The sequence below is a fragment of the Homo sapiens genome, chromosome 13 (genome assembly GCF_000001405.40).
Source record: "Homo sapiens chromosome 13, GRCh38.p14 Primary Assembly".
Lineage (NCBI taxonomy): Eukaryota > Metazoa > Chordata > Mammalia > Primates > Hominidae > Homo > Homo sapiens.
The window spans coordinates 97,422,522-97,443,044 of NC_000013.11; the positions used below are offsets into that span (position 1 = coordinate 97,422,522).

The following is a 20,523-nucleotide window of genomic DNA, read 5'->3' on the forward strand; positions in this document are numbered from 1 at the left end:
GTTTTAAAATGTGACCGAGGCTATGATCCAGAAGCCCTGAATGCCCCTCCCTGCAGGTAGGACAATAAGGAAATCCTTGCATTCACAGGATCCCAAGTACTGTCTTAAAGAGGAACTAGATGATTTCATATTACTTTTCAGTTTCTCCAGATGACAACTGGAGAATTGTTGTTGCATAAGGACAACAATAAATAACTATTTATTGTTATTGAAGCAAACCACCTCTCTGTATTTGTTGAATAGCTGAGGAAATACTCAAATCCTCCTGGATTGTCCACTTGTTGTGGGGCTGGCACGGGGTTCTATGTCTGGGTTTGTGAGATAAGCTGATCCCAAGCCTCATGTCACATGACCTGGCTAGTGCCTGGAGCTTTTGCACTGCATCTTGTTATTAAACCTGCACGAGAGACATTATTTCCAACATTACAGAAAGGACAAACTATCTCCTCCAGGGAATCTGGCAGGACTCTCTAACTAACACTATCATAAAACAGCTCCAGAAGCCACTGTCATCAGCTATATGCAATTAGGTTCTGAAAAATTATTGGGCCATACTTTATAATTAATGCTGACAAACTGACAATAGAATGCTGTTCATTTCCAATGTACTTCTAACAGAGATATAAGAGAACATGATCTAACAGGATAATTTTGTCTTTTTCAGGAACCTTCTGGTTGTAATAGAAAACCAGAAAACCACTGATACTAACTTAAAGGAAAATTTAGTGTAATGTTGGGGTAGAGGCGGGGATCTCAATGCCAATGGTAGAAAATGCAATTGGATCTCCTCATGAGTAGGAAAGCTCTCAGGAACTAAGTGAGCCATCACTACTTCTCTAAGAATCGACTTTATTCTTTGACATTTCTCTGTATATTGGCATTTCCGCTGAGTTGTACACACAGCCCATCAAAGGCTTTCCCAGTGTGGCTTTCCTTACTTCCTAGTTCAAATGCCCAGCCCCACCCTCTGGACTCCAGTTCTAAATTCCTAGGAGGAAACAAATCTTACTGGCTCATGAGCTAGGCACCGTGTGCCAATGACCACATCAACGATCTACGACCAGAGAACTCATGTGCTACAAACATGGGTCCCCTGGAGCCTGATAAAACTCCCAAGAAACCTACAAATGGATAGAGTCATGCGCATTTTTATTGTATGTCTCTAGTACTAAGAATGCCTATTTTCTATTTTTCTCAAATACATTTGAAAATAAGTTGGGCATATGGGCACACAGAAGCATCATGTTCTGAGTAGGTAGTAATGCCATTTTAGCACACTCAACTGTGCCTCTAAAATCTTCTGTACAGAAGTAGATTAGATTGTGTAATTCATGAGAACCATGCCAAAAGCTCCCGACCAAGGCAGCCACTGTGAACTCACAATGAGGCGGCTGGCATCTTTCATTCTCTCTCCTGTCTTCTGGATATTCTTGCCTCAGCCCCTATGAAGGTTCTGTGCCTCCCACCATCTGTAAGCTTTCCTATCCTGCCTATACCAGCCCTCAGCTGGAATGTAAAAGGGGGTCTTTAATATGGGGACTGAAAACATCATAGTTTCCTTTAGGCAGCTTGTCAAAGTCCTGCCAATCAGATGTCCTTGATTTCTAAGCAACAAGAAAAGCTACTGAAATTTTAAGGGGACACAAGACAAAACTATATCAAGGACATGTGTAAGTTTTTATATATTTTTCTAATTTTTTTTAACCTTGATGACTCATATCTTTTAAAACTCGTTTGCCTTGGTGATTTGTTTTATTCTCGTTGGTTTTTTTTTTTTTTTTAACCAGTTAGAATTGCCCTATTGGCTATTTTTGATTCAAATAGAAGTGGAAGTGATTCTTTTTAAGAATGATTTCACACACAATGAGATAGAGAAAATGGGAGTTTTTCTATATTTTCCATTACTTTATCACATTCAGCAGTTGTTTCTGTTTTAGTATAAGGATTTGGTTAGAACATTAAAAATGACTGCTTAAAGGATGAGACCCCATTGCAGTTCTTGTGAATTAAAGCCTATATTACTGTTTTATGAAGAATAATACTGTTTAAAATTTCACATTGTTATGATTTCATATAGTTTAGAGTTTCAGTTCAAAGTTGAAAAACACCATTGATTTCCCTTCAATAGAGAGAATCATTTGATAATTTGAAAATTAAGCATACTTTTCATAACATTTAATGTTTTATATTTAATCCAATTCATTCAGCATTTATTGAATATATACTATTGACTAAAGCATAATAAAGATTAGAAAGATGAAAAAACTTATAGATTCTCCACCCTCCTCCCCATCAGACATCCATGAGTCCATATACTAGCTGAAATCACAAAGATAAATACAATGCAAGACAAATTGCAGTACATATGAGAAGAAAAGTATAACATTTTTGGAAAATATGGTGAGAGATTAGTTTAAGGAAAACAGGGGGAGGTGGAATTTAAGTTAAATTCTGGATTTGGGGTAGGCCATCTCATTAGTCAGTATCCTTGGTAAAAATTTCCAAGATCACCAGTTACTTTAAGTGTGACTTTTACTTCAGAAAACACATAGTATTGTTAAATTGATTTTCAACCCAGAGGCAAGTCAGAATCATTTAGAGGATTTTGTTCAATATACACATTCCCAACCCTCCTTCCCCCAGACTATTCACTGATGAGACTTGGGAAGGATTTGGGCATTAACAATGCTCCCCCTACCCCAACCCTAACACACACAGAGCCAGACAAAGTGTGAATGCCAAGGTGAAATCTATTTAAAGAGATGTACACCAATGTGCAACACAGTTTCTGAAAAAACTTATTTTGAATAGATAATGTTAAGGTTTCTTGAAACAATCTATTTGACCCTAAAACTGGAAATGTATTAATATAGATCATTTTTATTGAAGGTTTTCTTATTTTTATTTATCTTGTATGTATTTATGAAATGTACTTTAGTCCTTCTGGAATCAAGTGGAGGAAAAAAACAAAATAGATATGTTAAAATAGAGATCATAAGACTAATGGAACAGACTCCTTGTGGCAATAAAGTACCAAATAATAAATGAGACCTAAGGCCATGCCAGAAAAAGCTGAAGTCACGTACCCCTACCCTTATAGAATAAACTATGCTCTAATTGCCACAGGTTTTTCTTATTCTCTAGCAGCTAAACAAGCACTGGCCTCAAGATAAGCAGTATTGAAACAATCGTAGCTCACTGAGCACCAGATGCTGACTAACTGACCCCTCTGTTCCACAAGCCACAGCTACAGCTTTGATTGGATAAAAGACTGATTTCAGTAACTTTCTCCTGATAAGAGACCACTGACCATCTTCTGGTTCTGTCTGGTTTACAGAGGCTGAGCACTGAGTGCCTTCCTGTCCCTGCTTCACCTTTTGACATATAGGGCTTAATTGGAATGCATTTAAATGTGAAGTCTGCACCCCAAAGTGAACAAGGGATGCATGTAACATCCATGTTTGCTTACTATTCATGCACATGCCCCCTCTTCATGGATATGTATAGCTCCTCCTACAATCTGTTAAATAAATATACTTGGCCAATCCATTCAGCATAAATTCCTATCTCATCCTCCCTTGAATAACTTGCTTTTGGTCTCTGCCTGAGGTTACACTTCCCAGCCAGTTAGGATGGCCACCCTGCTGGCTGCAACTCTTGGTAAGAAATAAAGCTCTCCTCTCCAAATTTATAGATTTCATGATTTTAAGTTGACAGGTAGATGGTAGACATTGAAACAGAGAGCTAGTTAATGTTCGCTATTTCTATGTTTGTGAGAGCCAACATTTAAGGAGTATTATACAAAGCATGGTTAAATGTCTTACTAAGCCTCAGCCCAGCCTCCACCCTATCAATCACATATCCAGATAGAATCCTCGGGCTTAAGAGAGTCTACAGCCCTAATGTAAAGAGCAGCACTGAGCACTTTGAAACTCTGCAACTTTAATATAAAAATCTTAAGAATCATAACCTTACAGCACCACAATTTGTCCATTTTAGTTCCTTTCACTTTGTCAGTGTGCAGTATAGAACTGACTTAATCCATTCCAGCTTTGAAACTAATTGTTGCTTATATAATTTAATTACATTGACAGATTAATATTTCTTAGGTAATTTACATGCAATGTTGTATCTTTTCATTGGAAACATTAGTTTGCATGGAAAATGGCCAAAATCTTTATTAAAAACCTAACACCAGAGACCAGTCCCCAAAAGAATGTAATCAAGACAAAGTATAAAAAAATACTTTAACTTTCCTTGACTACCTGGTACACCAAGGAAATAAAAAGGCTTACTATTTCTGAAATGTCTCCCTCAGCTTCTCTCATTCAAACGTAGACTCTGATCAATTTCACCATCAATGCCATTGCACAGAGACAGCGCTTTGACTAAGTAAACAAGACATCTTTTTCAACTAGTGCAGCCCAATGAATGTGGTTAATAATTAAGTGACTAATATTTTGTAAGGCTGTGTGAGAAGCATTAATTAGGATAATAGTAAAAGATGGTGTACTGTTCTGTGAAAAGCAGGAAACCGATTTTTGAGGAGATAATTCTAGAGAGCAGGATGAGTAACTTCCCTTGACAAGATAACTGGATGGCTGCTGAGAAGAGTTGGATGGTCCTTACACCATAACTCTGCTCTGTCTTCCCCAAGATGCCTCCAAACCATTGCTGAACACAATAATGTGAGAAGCAGAAGAGAAATGGAAGGAATCAGACAAGGCATGCAGCTTCAAAGTTTAAAAAATTCTTATAATCTCATAAAAATTAAAAAGTATTTGAAATAAGTTTAAGAATCTAGTAATTGTAAAGGCTGTTATTTTTCTTGTTACACCATGTGGAGTGATTAACCTTATTGAAACAAATTAATAAGTGTATGACAAAAATACAGTGGATTTCCATGGCCTTCTTATACTCGCTCTGGGCACATACTCATGCCATGACTTATCCCCCAATTTAAACTACGTTCTTCTATTTTACTTTCTTCATTTTCTTTTTCATCCAGGTAAGCATAGTTGCATGCCCCGAAGTTGACAGACTGATGGTACAATTTAACTGTATATCTCCTACTTACATTTTAATTGGAAAAAAATAACTTTTACATCAAAAGACTAAAACCTAAGTGCAGAATTTCAGACAACAGTCAGTTGATAGAAGACATGATTTTTCAGATCTTTCCTGGCACTCCTAAATTCCAGGTCTACAAACTGCCATTGACTTTGCCTGTTGGAGACTTACTGTTTTTGAGATACAAGCTTCTTTGGAGATTAGACCAACTTTGGAGGACATTTACATCAACCTCACCTTGATTTGGGGAAAATCCTTATTCCTTTCCTTTTATTCTCATCTTCTCTGTGTTCAAAACCCAGGGTTTTTAGAAGCAACATTATAGTCCACTCAATTGCTCATTTATTTACAAACATTTTATGAATTCCCACAATTGTTTTTAGGCGATGTGCTGAATGCTGGTAAAGCAAAAATGAACAAAGCACTGTCCCTTTCCCCAGTCACTGGAGAAGACAGTGCAATCATGTGTTATTGGTGTTAAGACAGAAGTCTGTTCAGGGTTACACTTGGGGTCACAAAAAGTGAGTGGTAAATCCTACCTCCAGTAATATCAAGATGTGTTCATATACCTACCATAGCTTAATTTAAAAAATTCTTATATTTGTACAGAAAATAGCATTAGAAAAATTAGTACAACCATATTTGACCAGAAACCACATAATGCCTAACAAGTTCTGATTTTTATTACAAATATTTATTATTGTTGCTCTACTATTACATTTGGCACATCTATGGGTTTTTTTTTATTTCAAAAATGCTTTGCTAATCTGTAACTTATTATGACTTACAGCTTTTTTTGTTGAAAAGATTTTCCTACAGGAAGGTACAAAAAGGCATTCTAGTGAAAACATTTTAAATTACACTATTTACCAAAAAGCCTACCTTTATGTATTACTGCTCTATTGAAATTTTTCTTTTCAAACAAATTCCATTCATTTCTACATAATGCATGTCAATAACAGCTATCATGGAAAAATAACAAGCAAAAACTGTTTTTCTACCTGTCTTCATTTTTTGCCACTCCTCATGTTTCCTTCTATTTCTATTTGTGAAAGTTTGAATCCCTCCTTCTTGATGCCCTTAAATCCATAATTACTTCTTATGACAACTCTTTTGACGCCCACATTATAAATTATTCATTATTTTGAATGACGCCTTAATTTCAAATGCACTCTTGTACTCCTACTTTGTCTTCTGTATTTTTCTCCTATATTATTTTTATACCTTTAAATAATCTTGCTTTGAGACTTCTGGCATCTTTCTGTCTTTTTCTCTGAGAGATGCCCCTAGAATGCTGTTGCTACAGGGAATTTAAAAAATCAAGTGATTCTGGTATTTCCCTCATTCACTCTTACTTCATTCCTGCTTTCTTCCTTTGCTCTTCTGGTTCCTTACATCTAGAGTGCTCTCTTCTGCCCCATCTAGCCTGTCCTTTCGCCACTTCCTTCAAAACCTGATACAATATTAATTTGCTTCAGACAACTCTCCTGGACTAACCTACTCCAATTTACTGTTTCTCTCGACCTCTGGGAATGTCAGTAAAAACTATACATTTCATTCTCATTTACTTGGAAAGTGTTTGTTTTTGTAATTTCATTCAGTTATTTAGTTATATATTTTGTAATATTTTATTATTTATATAATTACTATATACCCTTTCTAATTCCTGATTTTTCCTTATTAGTTTTAAGCATAACCATTATTTTATAATATAAACATGTAATTGGTTGCTTAATATCTGTCTCTCCTGCTAGAATACAAGCTCTTTTGGCTAATTGCTTATTGTTTTATCCCCAGAGCCTAAAAAATATACACAGTAATTACTCAATTAATATTATAGTATCTTTGAACTATCGTTCAGATATTAGTGAAATGAAAGTGCTCACAAATGCTTGCTGATTTTTTAAAGCCCGATTTTGGCTGGAATCCCTCATACTTTTTGTTAACAGGTGGGATGTATTTTGCTGTAAGATGCAGAAAACCTTACCAACACACACTTAAATTGAAAGACACCAGCTGTTTACTTAGCCATAAGTCCAAATGTGGGCAGTTCTAATGTTGGTTTGACTGTCCAATGTTGTCATGCAGGACCTAGGTTCTTCCCATCCTCCTCCCTGGCCATCCGAAGTTGCTGGCTTTCTACAGTATTGCACCATAATGTCATAATGCATCATAGCCCCCAAATGGAGGCCACATTCTCATATTTCAATGTGTAAAGCAGGAAGCAAAGAGAGCGACATCAGAAAACGGGGATATTTCCTCACTCTTGTCAATATCCTAGAAATCCCTCCAGCCCTAGCAGCCTTCTCCCCATTCCAATGACAAGAACTGAGTCACGTGCCTACTTTTGGACTAACCGTGGGCAGAGGGAAAGCAATGCTATTAAAGTCCAATCCTGATTCATCCCAGCTTCTTTGGCAAAAATAAAGGGAAACTGCTGGGTACGCAAGCAACACTGTGCCTGCTCTTCTGCTTTGTTAAATGAACCACACTGAAGCTCTGTTTTCCGCAGAATCCTCTAGCTCTTAAGATTCTTCAGGCTTTTTCTTTTTTCTGCCTACATTTTAATCATTACGTCTTTTCTTTCAGATTTTTTTTCTGATTAAAATGGCCTTTTGAAACATCTACTCTCTCCACCCATACGTTTCTTTTATTGAGTTGTTTCCATACTCTTAATTTCTGCATTCTAATTCCTTTTCTTTTCAAAAGCACTGAGACATATCACATTTTTTAAAGGAAGAACAAAGTTTATTTTGCCCCTTCCTTTCCACTCCACATATATACTGCAGATTCTCAACTGTATTAGGAGCCTCACAGGTCAAGAAACCATCGTCTGCTCTCCTTATACTTGCCAGCAGCGTTTCACAGGTGCTAAATGTACTTGACATGCCCTTCCCCTTTATGTTTAATCAGAGGCATGCAGGCTTTAATAAGAAGCATTAGGAATCAGGGTTTTACAGTCGAAAAGTACCCCTCGCATTACAAACATCCTCTACTAATTTGTTTCTATTAAATTATCTGCATATTTGCTTCTTGCTGGTGTCAGGAAGTCCCAGAATACAGTACCTTTCCCACTTCATACCACCTTTTCCAACACCTTTTACAGAAAGAAAGGATGGACTTGGGTTTCCACGGTAACACAAGTGCGATAATTGAAGGTATCTGGCTATAGGTGAGATAACTCCCTTTCAGATTTAGTGGAGAGAGGAGAAATGAAGATTTTCTTTCTTTTTATTCTCCTGGCAATGCACTTTGGAAACTAAAGGGATCCTGCAGTGTCAGTTACTGCGTTAAGTTTTCACTATCTTACAGATTTACAGCTCTTGGGAATAATTCAAATTTCTTTTATATCATTTTTATTTTTTATTTCCCACAAACAAATGAAGATATAAGTTATTTCTATAATCATCTCAAAATAGAGTTTATGCTGGCATCGGAATGAACATGACTAAGGGGTTAGAAAATAGACATCCATCTCCCACCCAAGTCCTCTAAATTCTCTACACGTCCTGACATCCTTTTTATAGCAGCTAATCTTTCACCCAACATTTCACCTACAACCACAAATCAGGTAAGTACCATCATTTAAGCCAGAATAGGTGAGAAAATATGCTCCGACCTGTCATGTTTCTTTTGCCTCTTGGTGGTTAAAAATCAACCTTTATGGTACTGAGCATGAAATCTGAGGCCTGTCAATATAAGGCCTGTAAATAAATGAACTGTAACCACCCCAAGGGCTGCAGTCTCTATACCCCTTCTTATCAAAAACGTCAGCATTGATGAGAGGTCAGGGGAAATAGCCTGAGAAATGTCACAAAGCTGTCCTACTCTGTATTATGCTAAATGGAGTGACTACGGAGCCCACTCACTATTTTTGTGACAGCTTCAATCCAGAGCTTCTCAACATCTAGGGACCTAGGAGTCATGAAAACAGTTACTTAAGGCAACCTTCTGGACCCCACAATCCCAATACAAATTTCTCAAAAACATTAATCACTGGAACTTCATTCCTTGCAAAGTAAATGGACTTAGAGCTCCTTTGTAATGCAAGGTACTAGATGAGTTGTCATGATCTAGAGAGAAAGCTTCACGCTTCCTGGCTCTATTTAACAACCCTAAGAACTTCTTATCACCAAGATGCACAGTTAGAATCTTAAGACAGTCTGTCTTTCCTTGGAAAAGAAGTATAGCTTCTACTAACCCAAAGTAACCATGAATAAGCATACCAATTTTACACAAAATATGAGACTTCTGGAAAGCTAGGTGAACACCATACTTACCTACATCCTCTTGAAACATCCCTGCCAAAGTAGCTCAGATATGAAGCATCCATGTAAGCTCTTTCAATTTTAATTCACTATTTCATGTTAACTAGCCTAGGATGAAATAGTAGATCCTCTTCGGTTCCAGTTCCCTTAAAACAGTCCTGATTCTTAGTCCTTTTTATTAATATAATACCTTCACTGCTGATTCTGGTGGCTCAGATAGTACCATTCATATTTTAATGATATGTAATCAAGAAATGCTGAGTTATATTTTACTACATACACATTTTTAAATTCAGAGGACATTTGTCCTTGATAATTTTAAATGAAAACTTGGTGTGTGTTCATTACAGCAAGGTAATGCAAATATAAGTTATCCATTCTAATATAACGAAGCTATAGGGAAATAAGAAACTACTAAATTTGAGTAGTCTTTGTAGTAGTTTGACTATCGACAGAAAAGATGGTGAAAGAATACCTGGCTTTTAACTCAGACCAAAATCCCCTCTGCATGATGACCTTGTGGGAAAGAGGAACGGGGAGAGGTATGCCAGGCTCTAACAACAGAACTACAGAAACGTGTTATTCGCAGGAAATGTGCGACAGTAACGAACAGGTGAGACTAGTTTGAGAAGGACATAGTTTAAAGAAAGTAAACTGAATAACCAGTTACTGCAAAAAATAATGCAGGAAAGCTTGGGGATGTATCGTCTCCTAAATTTGACGTTATGGGTGGGAGAGGATGTGTAACTAAGATGCAATGCTAGCGACAGAACGCTAAGTTTTAAAACTCAATAGTGAAAGAAAAAAAATAATGTTTTGGGAGGAACGCCTGGAAGACCCATGCAACTGCTGCACGATGTTTCCTTAAGGACCGGAACATTTCTCACCCTGAAGACAAAAGTCCCTGTGTTCTCGATTCAGCCCACATCCCTCAGCACCATTTCCATGCCCATCATTTAGGCAGAATGCCACGGAGGCGACGTGAAAAGTGGAATTCATCATTCTGGCTTGCAACGCATCTTGTTCTTTTGCCAGAACAGGGCACAGCAACTGGCTCCTCAATCTCTGCCCCTCCCAAACCCCAGCAGCCGGTCCCTGTCTCCATCCCGCCGGCCTCGGTGGCAAGGGGCTCGCGAGCTCTGGTTGGCTTGGCCGAAGCTTCCGTCACTCGCCAGCTCACCTACGATTGGTTGGCAGAGCGTGCGCGAAGAGCCCCGCCTGGCAAGGCACTGGGAGGTGGGCTTGCGGATCCTACGACTAGCGTTTTTCTCGATTGGTTGAAGGAGTAAAGGCACGTGGTATGGGGGCGCTCTCTTATTGGTCGTGAATGGTACCTTGTGGTACAGAGACGTGATGTGGTTGGCTAGAATGAATCCCAGCTTCCCACTAGATGCCCCTAGCTGGCTGTTGCTATGAGGAGTCCAGGGCCTTCCGGCTGCCGTTCGGGATTCCGCTCTCCAGGTTTTCAACTCACCCGTGGCTGACAGGGCGTGGGAAGAGCTCGACTTCAGTTCGGCACCGAAAGGGGCGGGTCTAGAAGAAATGTGGGCGGGTCCAGAGGGTTGGTGGGCGGGACCCCGGCGACGTCAGCGGGCTTGGACCCGACTTCCGTGGTGTGTGGCCGCCTCTGACTCGCCCCTCTGGCGCGCTGCTAGAGGGGGGCGTCACCCTCCCATCAATGTCCTAACGCTCCAAAGCTTCATTTTGTTGCGTTTACACAACTTCAGTCAGAAGCCTGTAGGTGCCCCCCCCTTAAAGCTTCACATGCTAATACAAGATAAAACCAAAGCTCTAGGAGTGCTGACAGACTGGGTGGCATCGGACAAAGGCCCTCGCGGCCCCTCTTGGGCCTTGGGCATCTCTCCTTCACTCCCCGCCTCAGGATAAAGCTTGGAGGTAGCTCTAGCCCCTCTACCATCTCATCCCTTCCGAATTCTTAATGTCTCGGGAGTCTCAGGTTGACGCTGCTCCTGGCTTGGGCGGGAACTGCGCATGCTCGGTACACAGGCCCTGGGGTCTGACTGGGCGCGCTGGGTTCGGCGCTGCTCGGCGGTCGCGGTGCTTGTTTATCTCCGCGCGGGCAGAAGCTTCCGAGCCCCGCAAAGCCTCTCGGGAGCGCTCGCGGCCCGTCGCCTAGGGGGCGGGGGCGGGGCTGCGCCGCGGGCTCCGCCCCGGCCGCCGGACCCCGCCCCTGGCCGCGCTGCGGCTGGGGCTCGGGCGCGCGCTCGAGCGCTGGGGGTAGCGGCGGCGGCGGCGGCGGCGGCGGGCGGGGATCTGGGCGTGGAGGCGCGAGGGGCGGGGCGGGCGGCACTGCGGGCCCGCGGCTCGGGCGGCACCAGCGGCTCCCGGTCTCTCTCTCTGCTCGCCCTCAGTCCCACCCGGTGCCTACGGGGCCGCATCGCCGCCCGGCTCGGCCCGGCCCATGCCCAGGGCCGCTGCTCCCTCAGTTGCCGCCGCCGCCGCCGGCGCCCAGGGGGCCGCCGCGGCTGTGAGGTGGGGGCGGCAGCGGGAGGCGGCGGGGCGGGCCGCCGGGGCCGGGGCTGGGGGCGCAGCGCGGCCGGCGTAGGTCTATGTCGCGGGCGGCGGCGGCGGCGGCGGCCGCGGAGGGACGATGCGCGAGTACAAAGTGGTGGTGCTGGGCTCGGGCGGGGTAGGCAAATCCGCCCTGACCGTGCAGTTCGTGACCGGCACCTTCATCGAGAAATACGACCCCACCATCGAGGACTTCTACCGCAAGGAGATCGAGGTGGATTCGTCGCCGTCGGTGCTGGAGATCCTGGACACGGCGGGCACCGAGCAGTTCGCGTCCATGCGGGACCTGTACATCAAGAACGGCCAGGGCTTCATCCTCGTCTACAGCCTCGTCAACCAGCAGAGCTTCCAGGACATCAAGCCCATGCGGGACCAGATCATCCGCGTGAAGCGGTGAGCGAGGGCACACGGGGGCTTGGCGGCTGCACCCCGGAGTCACCGTCCCGGGGCTGGAACTCCCCGCGCGGGGCTCCGGGGAAGGGGCTTTCTGGGGGGTGGCTCCAAGCTGGAGGCTTTACTATTGTCATTCTGCTCCTCCTCCTCAATCTCAAATTTGAGTGCTTTGTTTCACAACTAAAATTTGGCATCGTGTTAGCCCACAGAACAGCTCTTTGTCTCTTGGACGTTGTTAGCATTGCTTGTTACAGAGCCCCCAAGGAAACAAAGTTTAAAACTTGCAGGGGGGAAAGGGGTGGATAGATTTGTCTTGGGAAGAGAGGAACTGTGCAGGTATAGTCGAGACATTTGCAGACTGAACAACAACAATCTGCCTTGGCAATGTTTGACAGTAAAAATCGCTCACACACCTATACAGTAAAGTCAAGTCCAGAGGAAGGAGACCTTTCTCATCTCGTTAAAGGTTTATGGTTCCAAGGCGTTTTACAAAAATTAAGTCTCTAATTTAGTGCAAAACTTTAAAGACAGATTATTAAATTATTTGAAGACATCATAAGCTAAATGGGGTTTCGAGAATATTAACAGAGGAGTACAAATAAGCCATTCACAGGAAAAGAATGCAGCTTAACTGTTTGTTTTTGTTTTTTTGTTTTTAATATAGCCGCCTTAACCCCTTCCAAAAAAAAAAAAAAAAAAAAAACACCACCACACCACCACCACCAGTTCCTGGAAACAAAACAGAAGCTTCTTCAAAAGTGTGACACAAGTATTAGCTAATTTAAAGTTAATGTTAATAAGCCTTTATATATATATATAAATTCTTTTCTAAAGTATACATTTTGGAAATATGGCTGATAAATGATTTAAAATGTTTGTTTTCTCTTAAATTCACTGAATATATTTTTCCGTGTAATTTTAAGCATTAGAAATGTGATAATATCTTAGTTCAAAGTTTTGGCAAATTTTTCTAATTATCATTTAATTACACATTACTGTTTCATCTAGTTCTTGTTAGTTAATGCCTGCTGATAATTTTGGTGTCCTTTTTTTCCTGCCTTATTCTACCTAGAGCCTAAATCTGAAGACCTTTACTGAAAGATGGTTGTAAGTGCACCGTAGACACAGTCACATTGTAAGTCAGTTTGAGTCCACTCATTTTGAAAGAGCAAGGACCAAGTTATGTGTACCCAGGGGATGATCAAAAATTCATTACGAGTAGTGAGTTTTTAATGCAACCTATGAGATCAAAGAGAAGGCTCTCTCTCTATTGCTCCACCCCCCCTTAACTGAGTATGCACTTTAATCGCTGAACTAAAATCGTGCATGTTATTCATCCTTGTGTTAAATTCCAAACTAGAATAAAGCAGATATTTTCGTGGTCTCTGCTGCTAAGATTTGTAAATTTGATAGCTTTGTACTTCTCCAGTATCATTTTCCTAAAGTTAAATGTTTATAGTTAAGAGATGAACAATTCTGGTGTTAAACTTAGTATGAGGATGGCATTTAAGGGGCTACATTTAAGTTACTTAAATTCTTATTACCCCCTCCCCCAACCACTCAATTAAAAAGAAACAAACCAAACCAACTGCAGGGTAGTCTGATACATTGCCACATGTCAATGTTAGGCCAAATGCATACATCAAAAAATAATCTAAGTAAATGCCCCAACAGCCTCACCCTTCACATTTAGATATATATGCTTAAAGATATGAAGATGCACATATACACTGATAAAGCCACATACCCATGGCTAACTTCTTGACACAAGCCTAGGGAACAAATATGGCAAAATATTATTGGATAATATGGTCCACATAATTTTGTAGTTTCTTGTAATTTAGTGCAGATTACTTTTCTCAGTTATAATAATAGGTTAGTCTAAACTCAGCATATTGGAGCAATTTGTTTATTTTCACTATGACCCAGAGGAAAAACATAGAGTAAAATTCTGCATGCCCAGTATCATTTTACTCACTAGTCTCAGTTCTTGATATAAAAAGATCATTGATCAGCTGAAGTAGAGTTCATAAATTCTCTTCACCAGAATTCAACCGTTGTATACATAAGAACCTCTTGGACCCTCACTTGTGTGTCTTTGTAATATGGTAGTAGTAAGGTATTTTACACCTCATCCTAACCCCAGCGTCTGGCTTCCCATCATTGATGGAGAGGACATGTGAATGCAGGTGGCCTCTTCTTTACCAGTCTTTCAGTATTTGATATCTACTGTCAAATTCAGTATTCAGCTTTAGGTCTAGGTCAGCACTTTTCAATAGAGATATAACGTGAGCCACATATGTAATTTTAACATTCCTAGTAGCTGATTTTTTAAAAATAACATAAATATATGGAATTAATTTTAATGTATTTTATTTAACCCACCATATTTAAAATAGAATCATTTTGACATGTCAGTATTCAAAAATTATTAATAAGGTACTTTACTTCTTTATACTGTGTCTTCAAAGTTTGGTATGTGTTTGACCTACCACATCTCAATTCAAACAAGTCACATTTCAAGTGCTCAGTAGCCGTATGTGGCCACAGGCTGCCATATTGGACAACAGAGGTCTAAGGTGTATATGATTTGGGGAAATGCTTGCTTATTTCTCTAAGCTTCAGTTTCCTTATCTGTGAAATAGAGATTAGCATGCACCTTCCAGAGTCCTTGTTAGAATTAAATGAGATAATGTATTTTAACATTCCCAAAACAATACCAGTACACAGAAATTGCTCAAAAAATTCTAGCTGTCATTCTTACTTTAATAACTTTGTCATTTATCTTCCTTAAATGTTACCCTTGATATAAATGTAATTTTAGAAGAAATAAATTTGTAATTGCATTTTGGAATTCATTACTTAGTATATTCAAGATGAGACTAAAAAGCAATGAGGTTAAAATAATCCTTGGAAGAATTGTGTTGGTATTCTCTTGAAATTATTTCCCCTTATGAAGGATCTGATGGAAAAGGGCATGAGAATGAACATTTAACTTCAAGTACAGTATAGCAATAATGCATAGCACTAATGCATAGCCAAACAACGAATGGAGCTTTTCATTTTTCATTTTCATTTCAAATAATAGCAGTCATTTTCAAGGATTGCTATTACTTGAAATGTTTCACTTTTAAGAAATGTGAAACTGACCCATACTCCCTTAAGTGTCTGTAAGTGTACATACCTCCGTATACATACATGACCTCTTGTCAAAGCCAAGTGGACCAACTGAAAATGGCTATATTTGTAAATTCATATGCTTTCTTTTCTTAACTTGATTTTGGGTGAGATGACACACACAAAGAAGAGTAACAGGGATATAGGAAATGTTTTTCAGTTGAAATAAAACTAGAATTTTTTTCTGATTTTGTAATTGCTTTTTTCATTGTTACCCATGCCAGGATCAGCCATGGTCCTGACATGAAGTTCTTGGAACATGATATACAAGGCCTCTTTGCTGTTAGGAAAAAGTCCAGAAATCTTCAACATGACCTTTCACAGTCCAGCTTGCTCTTATCCCTCCCTGCCTGTGCAGCCTCACCTCTTGCACCCATCCTTTTATTCTAGCACCCAGACCTTAAGTCCTTGAAAGTACCTTTCTCTGGGCTCTCCTTTGGCCTGTGGAAATCTACCTTTTTGCAGAGTTAATTCCTACTCCGTCTTTCACCCTCACCCCTGCTTAACCCATTTATACCGGAGGTTGCAAATGTTTTTTGTGAAATATCAGACCTTAGCAATGACCTTGAACAGTAGGATATAAATAACTCCCACAAGCTTAGTGTTCCAATAATGGAACACTAGGCATAGATGAGTTAAAAGATTTTTCCCCACTGAGGGAAGATGTCCTCTCAAACCAAAGTAACCCCTTTCCTGTCTTCCCTTACTAAACTTTATGCCTCACCTCTTTGCTCAATCACACATACCCTGTCCTTTCCCTTTTCTTTGAAGCACTCATCCAAATTTAATTATTTGTGTGATAATTTATGGGTAGCCAGCCTTTCTCACAAAACTCCAAGCCCACGTAGGTGACACAGCTCCTACTAGCACATAGGAAACAAGAAAAAATGTTGAAAAAATGAATGTTCAGAAAGAAAAGTATTTGTATTGTTGTTTGGCCTCAGTTTCCCTAAACATTTTGATTTCATAGATGGAGGAGATGATCTTTTAAAGTTCATTTTGCAGATGGAGATGATCTTCCTTCAGCTCGAACTTTCTGTGAGAACACTTCCAGTTGGGGCAGTGTTTAATACGAACCTCAAAGAATCAGAAACATGATGTATTCCAGATGGAGGAAATGGCACAGGAAATGCATAGAATATGTTTTTTGGATGTTAAATAGAGCAGACTGGCCAAATGGGGAATGTATATAGAAGTGTGAGGGGAGGTAAGGTGAAAATTTTTAAAGCTAAATTACTGAAGGTTAAAGACTTAGGAGTTGATCATGTAGTCAAGGACCATAATCACAATTGTCATAGGTATAGCAATATGTAGTGATATGGTAGATGTCTTAGTGGTAATAGACTACTCTGTTTCATAACAGGAAGAATAGTCATAAATGTTGTGATAATCCAGTTTTTACGTGAAGTGTGAAAATCCTGAATTAGCATGGTGTCTGTAGTAACAGGAGAGAAAGGATGCAAGGAATGTTGTAAAGAATGAAGTAATCAAACTCAGTGGTAGAGGAAGAGGAAAAGGTCAGAAGTAACCTTGACATTTTGAAATGAACAAATAGGATTATGGAGGAATAGCTGGGGGAGATTATTTTCAGTTTTGGAGATGGTAATTATCCAGATAGCCAGCCTAATAAGTAATTAGAACATTTGAATAAAGCCTGAAAGGTCAGGTTATGTATGAATATGAAGACTCAGGATCATCTGCGTAGTTCAGATTGGGAGAGTAGATGAAACCTACTGGGTAGAGTATAGAGACAGAAATGAATGGATATGGCTAACAATAGAAATGAGGAATGAATGAATATAGCCAAGGATAGAACTCGAGAGTTGTAAGATACACAGTGGAGACTTCCTATATTGCAGTAGGCGAGAAGGCGTGGGGTGTTTTAAGATTGGGAAAAAGATAGTTGACTAGCACTACCCAAGGTGAGTAAGTTGTTTTTTTTTAAGATTATTATTAATTTTCTATATCACTTAAGTGGTCACTTTCAAGTGAGCTGGCTGATTGTTTACACTTTCCCCCTTACCATAAGTAGCTATTAAAGCCTACTCTAAAACAGAAGCATATTACCAATTGTTACACATAGATCTTTGGCCCATGACAGTTTGGTGCTGGAGAGCCGAAACGAGAGTATACATCAAAAGATGTCTGTCCCAAGTAAGTGAAACTTCTGGAGCTCTGCTACCGTTTTTCCCTCTAAAAATACCTGCTTCCCCAGTACCAAAACTTAATTCAAAGCTGGACCTCCCAGGTACAGAGCCTAATAGCTGTGGGTCACTTTTTTTTTGTTTTGTTTTGGTACTGGTGAATTAGTAGGAAAAATTTTTAATAATAAATATATATAACATGAAGAATTGATGACTAAATCCTGAAAGTCAGACATAAATCCAAACAAAGAATTTGGGTATGAAGATAAGGACTGATGGTGAAACCTCTATCCACTTAAATACAAAACTAAGATAAAAGAATTGTGAGAATTATGGCTGCCAAACAGAATATTAAAGTTAAAAAGACTGACAATATGAAACAAACAATATAACTAGTAAGTCAGGATGAGAGGAGGGAAATAGTTATGAGTGCTCACTTCATCTTTCATGAGAGGGATTTAAATGGTCAAAAAATTGAAATTTGTTTTGAAAATGACTCGAAGAGCTCAGTGTTTTTCATGATCTTTTTTTCTTTAAAAACCACTTTATTGAGGTATGATTGATGTACAAAAAGCCAGACATATTTAATGTGTACAACTCAGTGAGTTTAGAGATAAGCATACACTTGTGAAATCACCACAATCAATGCTGTAAAACTATCCATCACCTCCAAAAGTTTCCCCCTGCTTTATTTATCTATCCATTCATTCATTCATTCATTCATTTTTTTTGTAGTAAGAACACAACATAAGTTCTGTCTTCTTAGCAAATGTTTATACAATACAGTATTGTTAACTAGAAGTACTATTACCATACAGATGTCTGGGACTTACTTATCTTGCATAACTGAACTTCATACAGTGAATCACTTTATGTGGCCCAGAAGTTTTTCCTGAAAAGGAAACTTTTGTTTTGGCTGCATTGTAAAATTACAGGTTACAGTATATAGTTTTCTTTTTGCCACTCCAGGATTGTAATTTTTAAAGCTCAATTTGGAGTTGGAGGAGATGATGTCTCTTCCTCTCTAACATTCTGTGAGAGCACTTTTGTCTGGCCGGGGTGATGAGGGAAGGGGTCAAGTTTAATATGAACCTTAAAGAATCAGCAGCCTGTGACCCACAATTTTGTCTAGTTAAGATTTGATAATTGTATCAATAAAATCTACAATAAGGAATAATTATACTAATACTTATTTTTTAATGGAGGGCAAAAATAATTTAAATTATTAAACATTAAGGAAGAGGTAGAGGAACTAAGAAAAATCACTGGATTTCACAGCCAACAGGAAGAGCCAACAAAGTTGGAATCTATTTGCTAAAGTTTCAGTAGCAATATACTTGAGTGATTTAATTTCTGTGTGTGAAGTTCTGGGAAATTACATATGGCACAATAAGGTGCATATATTATGCATGTATATGTACATATTTTTAAGCAAGGATCTTTACATAAAACCAAGTACACTGTACTTAAGGGAATTTTTTTTCAGGGGTATTTTTTTCTTTTCAGTTCTCTTTTAGTCATTGTCTTTAGAACCTTACTGCCTAGGGGAGCATGTATGCCTTACTCTGGGGTTTTCTTTGCTTCTGTTTTGATTTTTCCCTGTTTTCTGTTTCTCTCCATCTATTCTTACCTACTGTTTTTTTACACACTTATATTTTTCAGGCCTATGTTGTAAAAAGAGTTTTAAGTACTCTAAGTTTTTTTGGAGTAATAAGAGTTTGAATACGAGCAGACTTTCAAACAAGGTAAAACTGATGGTGACTGAATAGTTACTAAAGGAAATGTATAGATATTGTGTTTATGTAGGAAATTTATCTTGAAATTTTAATGGTGTGCAGAAATATGCCATATATTATATATTGCCATTTCATTTGTTACTTTGACACTTGTGGTTCATATCATTAAAAATTATTCTCAGCCTGACAGAGAGAAGTTTAATTTCTTAAACATCCTTTCTGCTTTACCAGATCAAACTCAGCCTTTTAGTAGAGTAATATCAATAATAGTAATGCTGTAATTGTGGACATCTGCATTTCAGTCAAGTATGTTAAATAAAGCATAAATATATTAGTAAAATTTAAAGTAATCAAAATAACTAAAAACAATATTTGAAGATTCTAATACATAATCTAGCTAAGATTTTGTCATGGTATGTATTAAATTCTTTCTCTGGCATAATTGTATAGATGGGGATTTGTTTTTGTTTTTTATTTCTCTAATACATTTAAGATTTTAAAACATACCAAAATTTATATTTAGGGAGAAATAAGGTGACTTATAATTTTTATTTTTAAATTGTTATCTGTCAAAAAGCCAAATATTGGAAAAAATTAATAACTATCTCTATTTTTATAGATCCACTCAGCAGGGGATTTCACATTTTCTTAACCAGGGCCCTCAGTAAGAAGTACATTTTATATTGTGACTTAGTGCACACATAGGAATAAATACATCTAGCCGAAATCAACATTTCATAAGACAGTAAACTTGCTATGTTGCTTGTATTACTTTTTCTATTTATTTTTTTCTATTTTATTTCGTTGTTTTTAAGTGCTTTTCATGACCCACCAAATTGATTTTATCACACATAGCTTGGAAACTGCTATCCTAGGACATTTTTACTCTAAGAAAACTAAATGTAACTATCTGTTTAATATTTCATCTTCTCTCTCCTGCTTTTCTGGTTCCCAGCAATGCTGTGTAAGATTACGAAAATGAAGTACTTCCCAATGTGAGTTAGTAAATACTACCTGTAATTCAGAGAAAGATAGCATTTAGTCACTGAACAAAAAGATATAGCATATCTTTTGAGAAAGCATTTATCTCTGTTGTGCATATTAGAAATATGAGAATGTATTTCTCATGTAATGTTGTTCATTCTAGTAATTCAAGATAACTTTTGCCTTGTGAAAACTTAGAACAGAGAAAGGGAGGTTGTG

At 38.9% G+C, this 20,523-nt stretch overlaps 1 protein-coding gene across 1 annotated transcript in view, besides 8 other annotated features; it reads left to right on the plus strand.

Moving 5' to 3' along the window:
- Positions 10,745 to 10,884: an enhancer, noted in NCBI's record as "active region_7889". NCBI's record gives its function as "activates an Ori minimal core promoter by ATAC-STARR-seq in GM12878 lymphoblastoid cells {active_cell/tissue: GM12878}" and the evidence as "EXISTENCE:reporter gene assay evidence [ECO:0000049][PMID:35858748]".
- Positions 10,745 to 11,763: a biological region, named in NCBI's record as "H3K27ac hESC enhancer GRCh37_chr13:98085607-98086538".
- Positions 10,832 to 11,763: an enhancer, noted in NCBI's record as "H3K27ac hESC enhancer chr13:98085607-98086538 (GRCh37/hg19 assembly coordinates)". NCBI's record gives its function as "activates a minimal SCP1, AML or CMV promoter by ChIP-STARR-seq in primed H9 embryonic stem cells {active_cell/tissue: H9 hESC(primed)}" and the evidence as "EXISTENCE:reporter gene assay evidence [ECO:0000049][PMID:30033119]".
- Positions 11,035 to 11,164: an enhancer, noted in NCBI's record as "active region_7890". NCBI's record gives its function as "activates an Ori minimal core promoter by ATAC-STARR-seq in GM12878 lymphoblastoid cells {active_cell/tissue: GM12878}" and the evidence as "EXISTENCE:reporter gene assay evidence [ECO:0000049][PMID:35858748]".
- Positions 11,185 to 11,234: an enhancer, noted in NCBI's record as "active region_7891". NCBI's record gives its function as "activates an Ori minimal core promoter by ATAC-STARR-seq in GM12878 lymphoblastoid cells {active_cell/tissue: GM12878}" and the evidence as "EXISTENCE:reporter gene assay evidence [ECO:0000049][PMID:35858748]".
- Positions 11,385 to 11,744: a silencer, noted in NCBI's record as "silent region_5451". NCBI's record gives its function as "represses an Ori minimal core promoter by ATAC-STARR-seq in GM12878 lymphoblastoid cells {active_cell/tissue: GM12878}" and the evidence as "EXISTENCE:reporter gene assay evidence [ECO:0000049][PMID:35858748]".
- The window catches only part of RAP2A (RAP2A, member of RAS oncogene family), a 34,960-nt gene continuing 26,084 nt past the window's right edge, over positions 11,648 to 20,523 (plus strand). Inside the window, exon 1 of the mRNA NM_021033.7 lies at positions 11,648 to 12,263. Coding sequence (NP_066361.1) covers positions 11,950 to 12,263 — 314 coding nt within the window. The 5' untranslated portion in view covers positions 11,648 to 11,949. The remainder of the gene's footprint in view (positions 12,264 to 20,523) is intronic.
- Positions 11,765 to 11,824: a silencer, noted in NCBI's record as "silent region_5452". NCBI's record gives its function as "represses an Ori minimal core promoter by ATAC-STARR-seq in GM12878 lymphoblastoid cells {active_cell/tissue: GM12878}" and the evidence as "EXISTENCE:reporter gene assay evidence [ECO:0000049][PMID:35858748]".
- Positions 15,676 to 15,869: a silencer, noted in NCBI's record as "fragment chr13:98090451-98090644 (GRCh37/hg19 assembly coordinates)". NCBI's record gives its function as "represses an EF-1alpha promoter that drives an FKBP-Casp9 reporter gene in an ReSE screen in HepG2 liver carcinoma cells {active_cell/tissue: HepG2}" and the evidence as "EXISTENCE:reporter gene assay evidence [ECO:0000049][PMID:32094911]".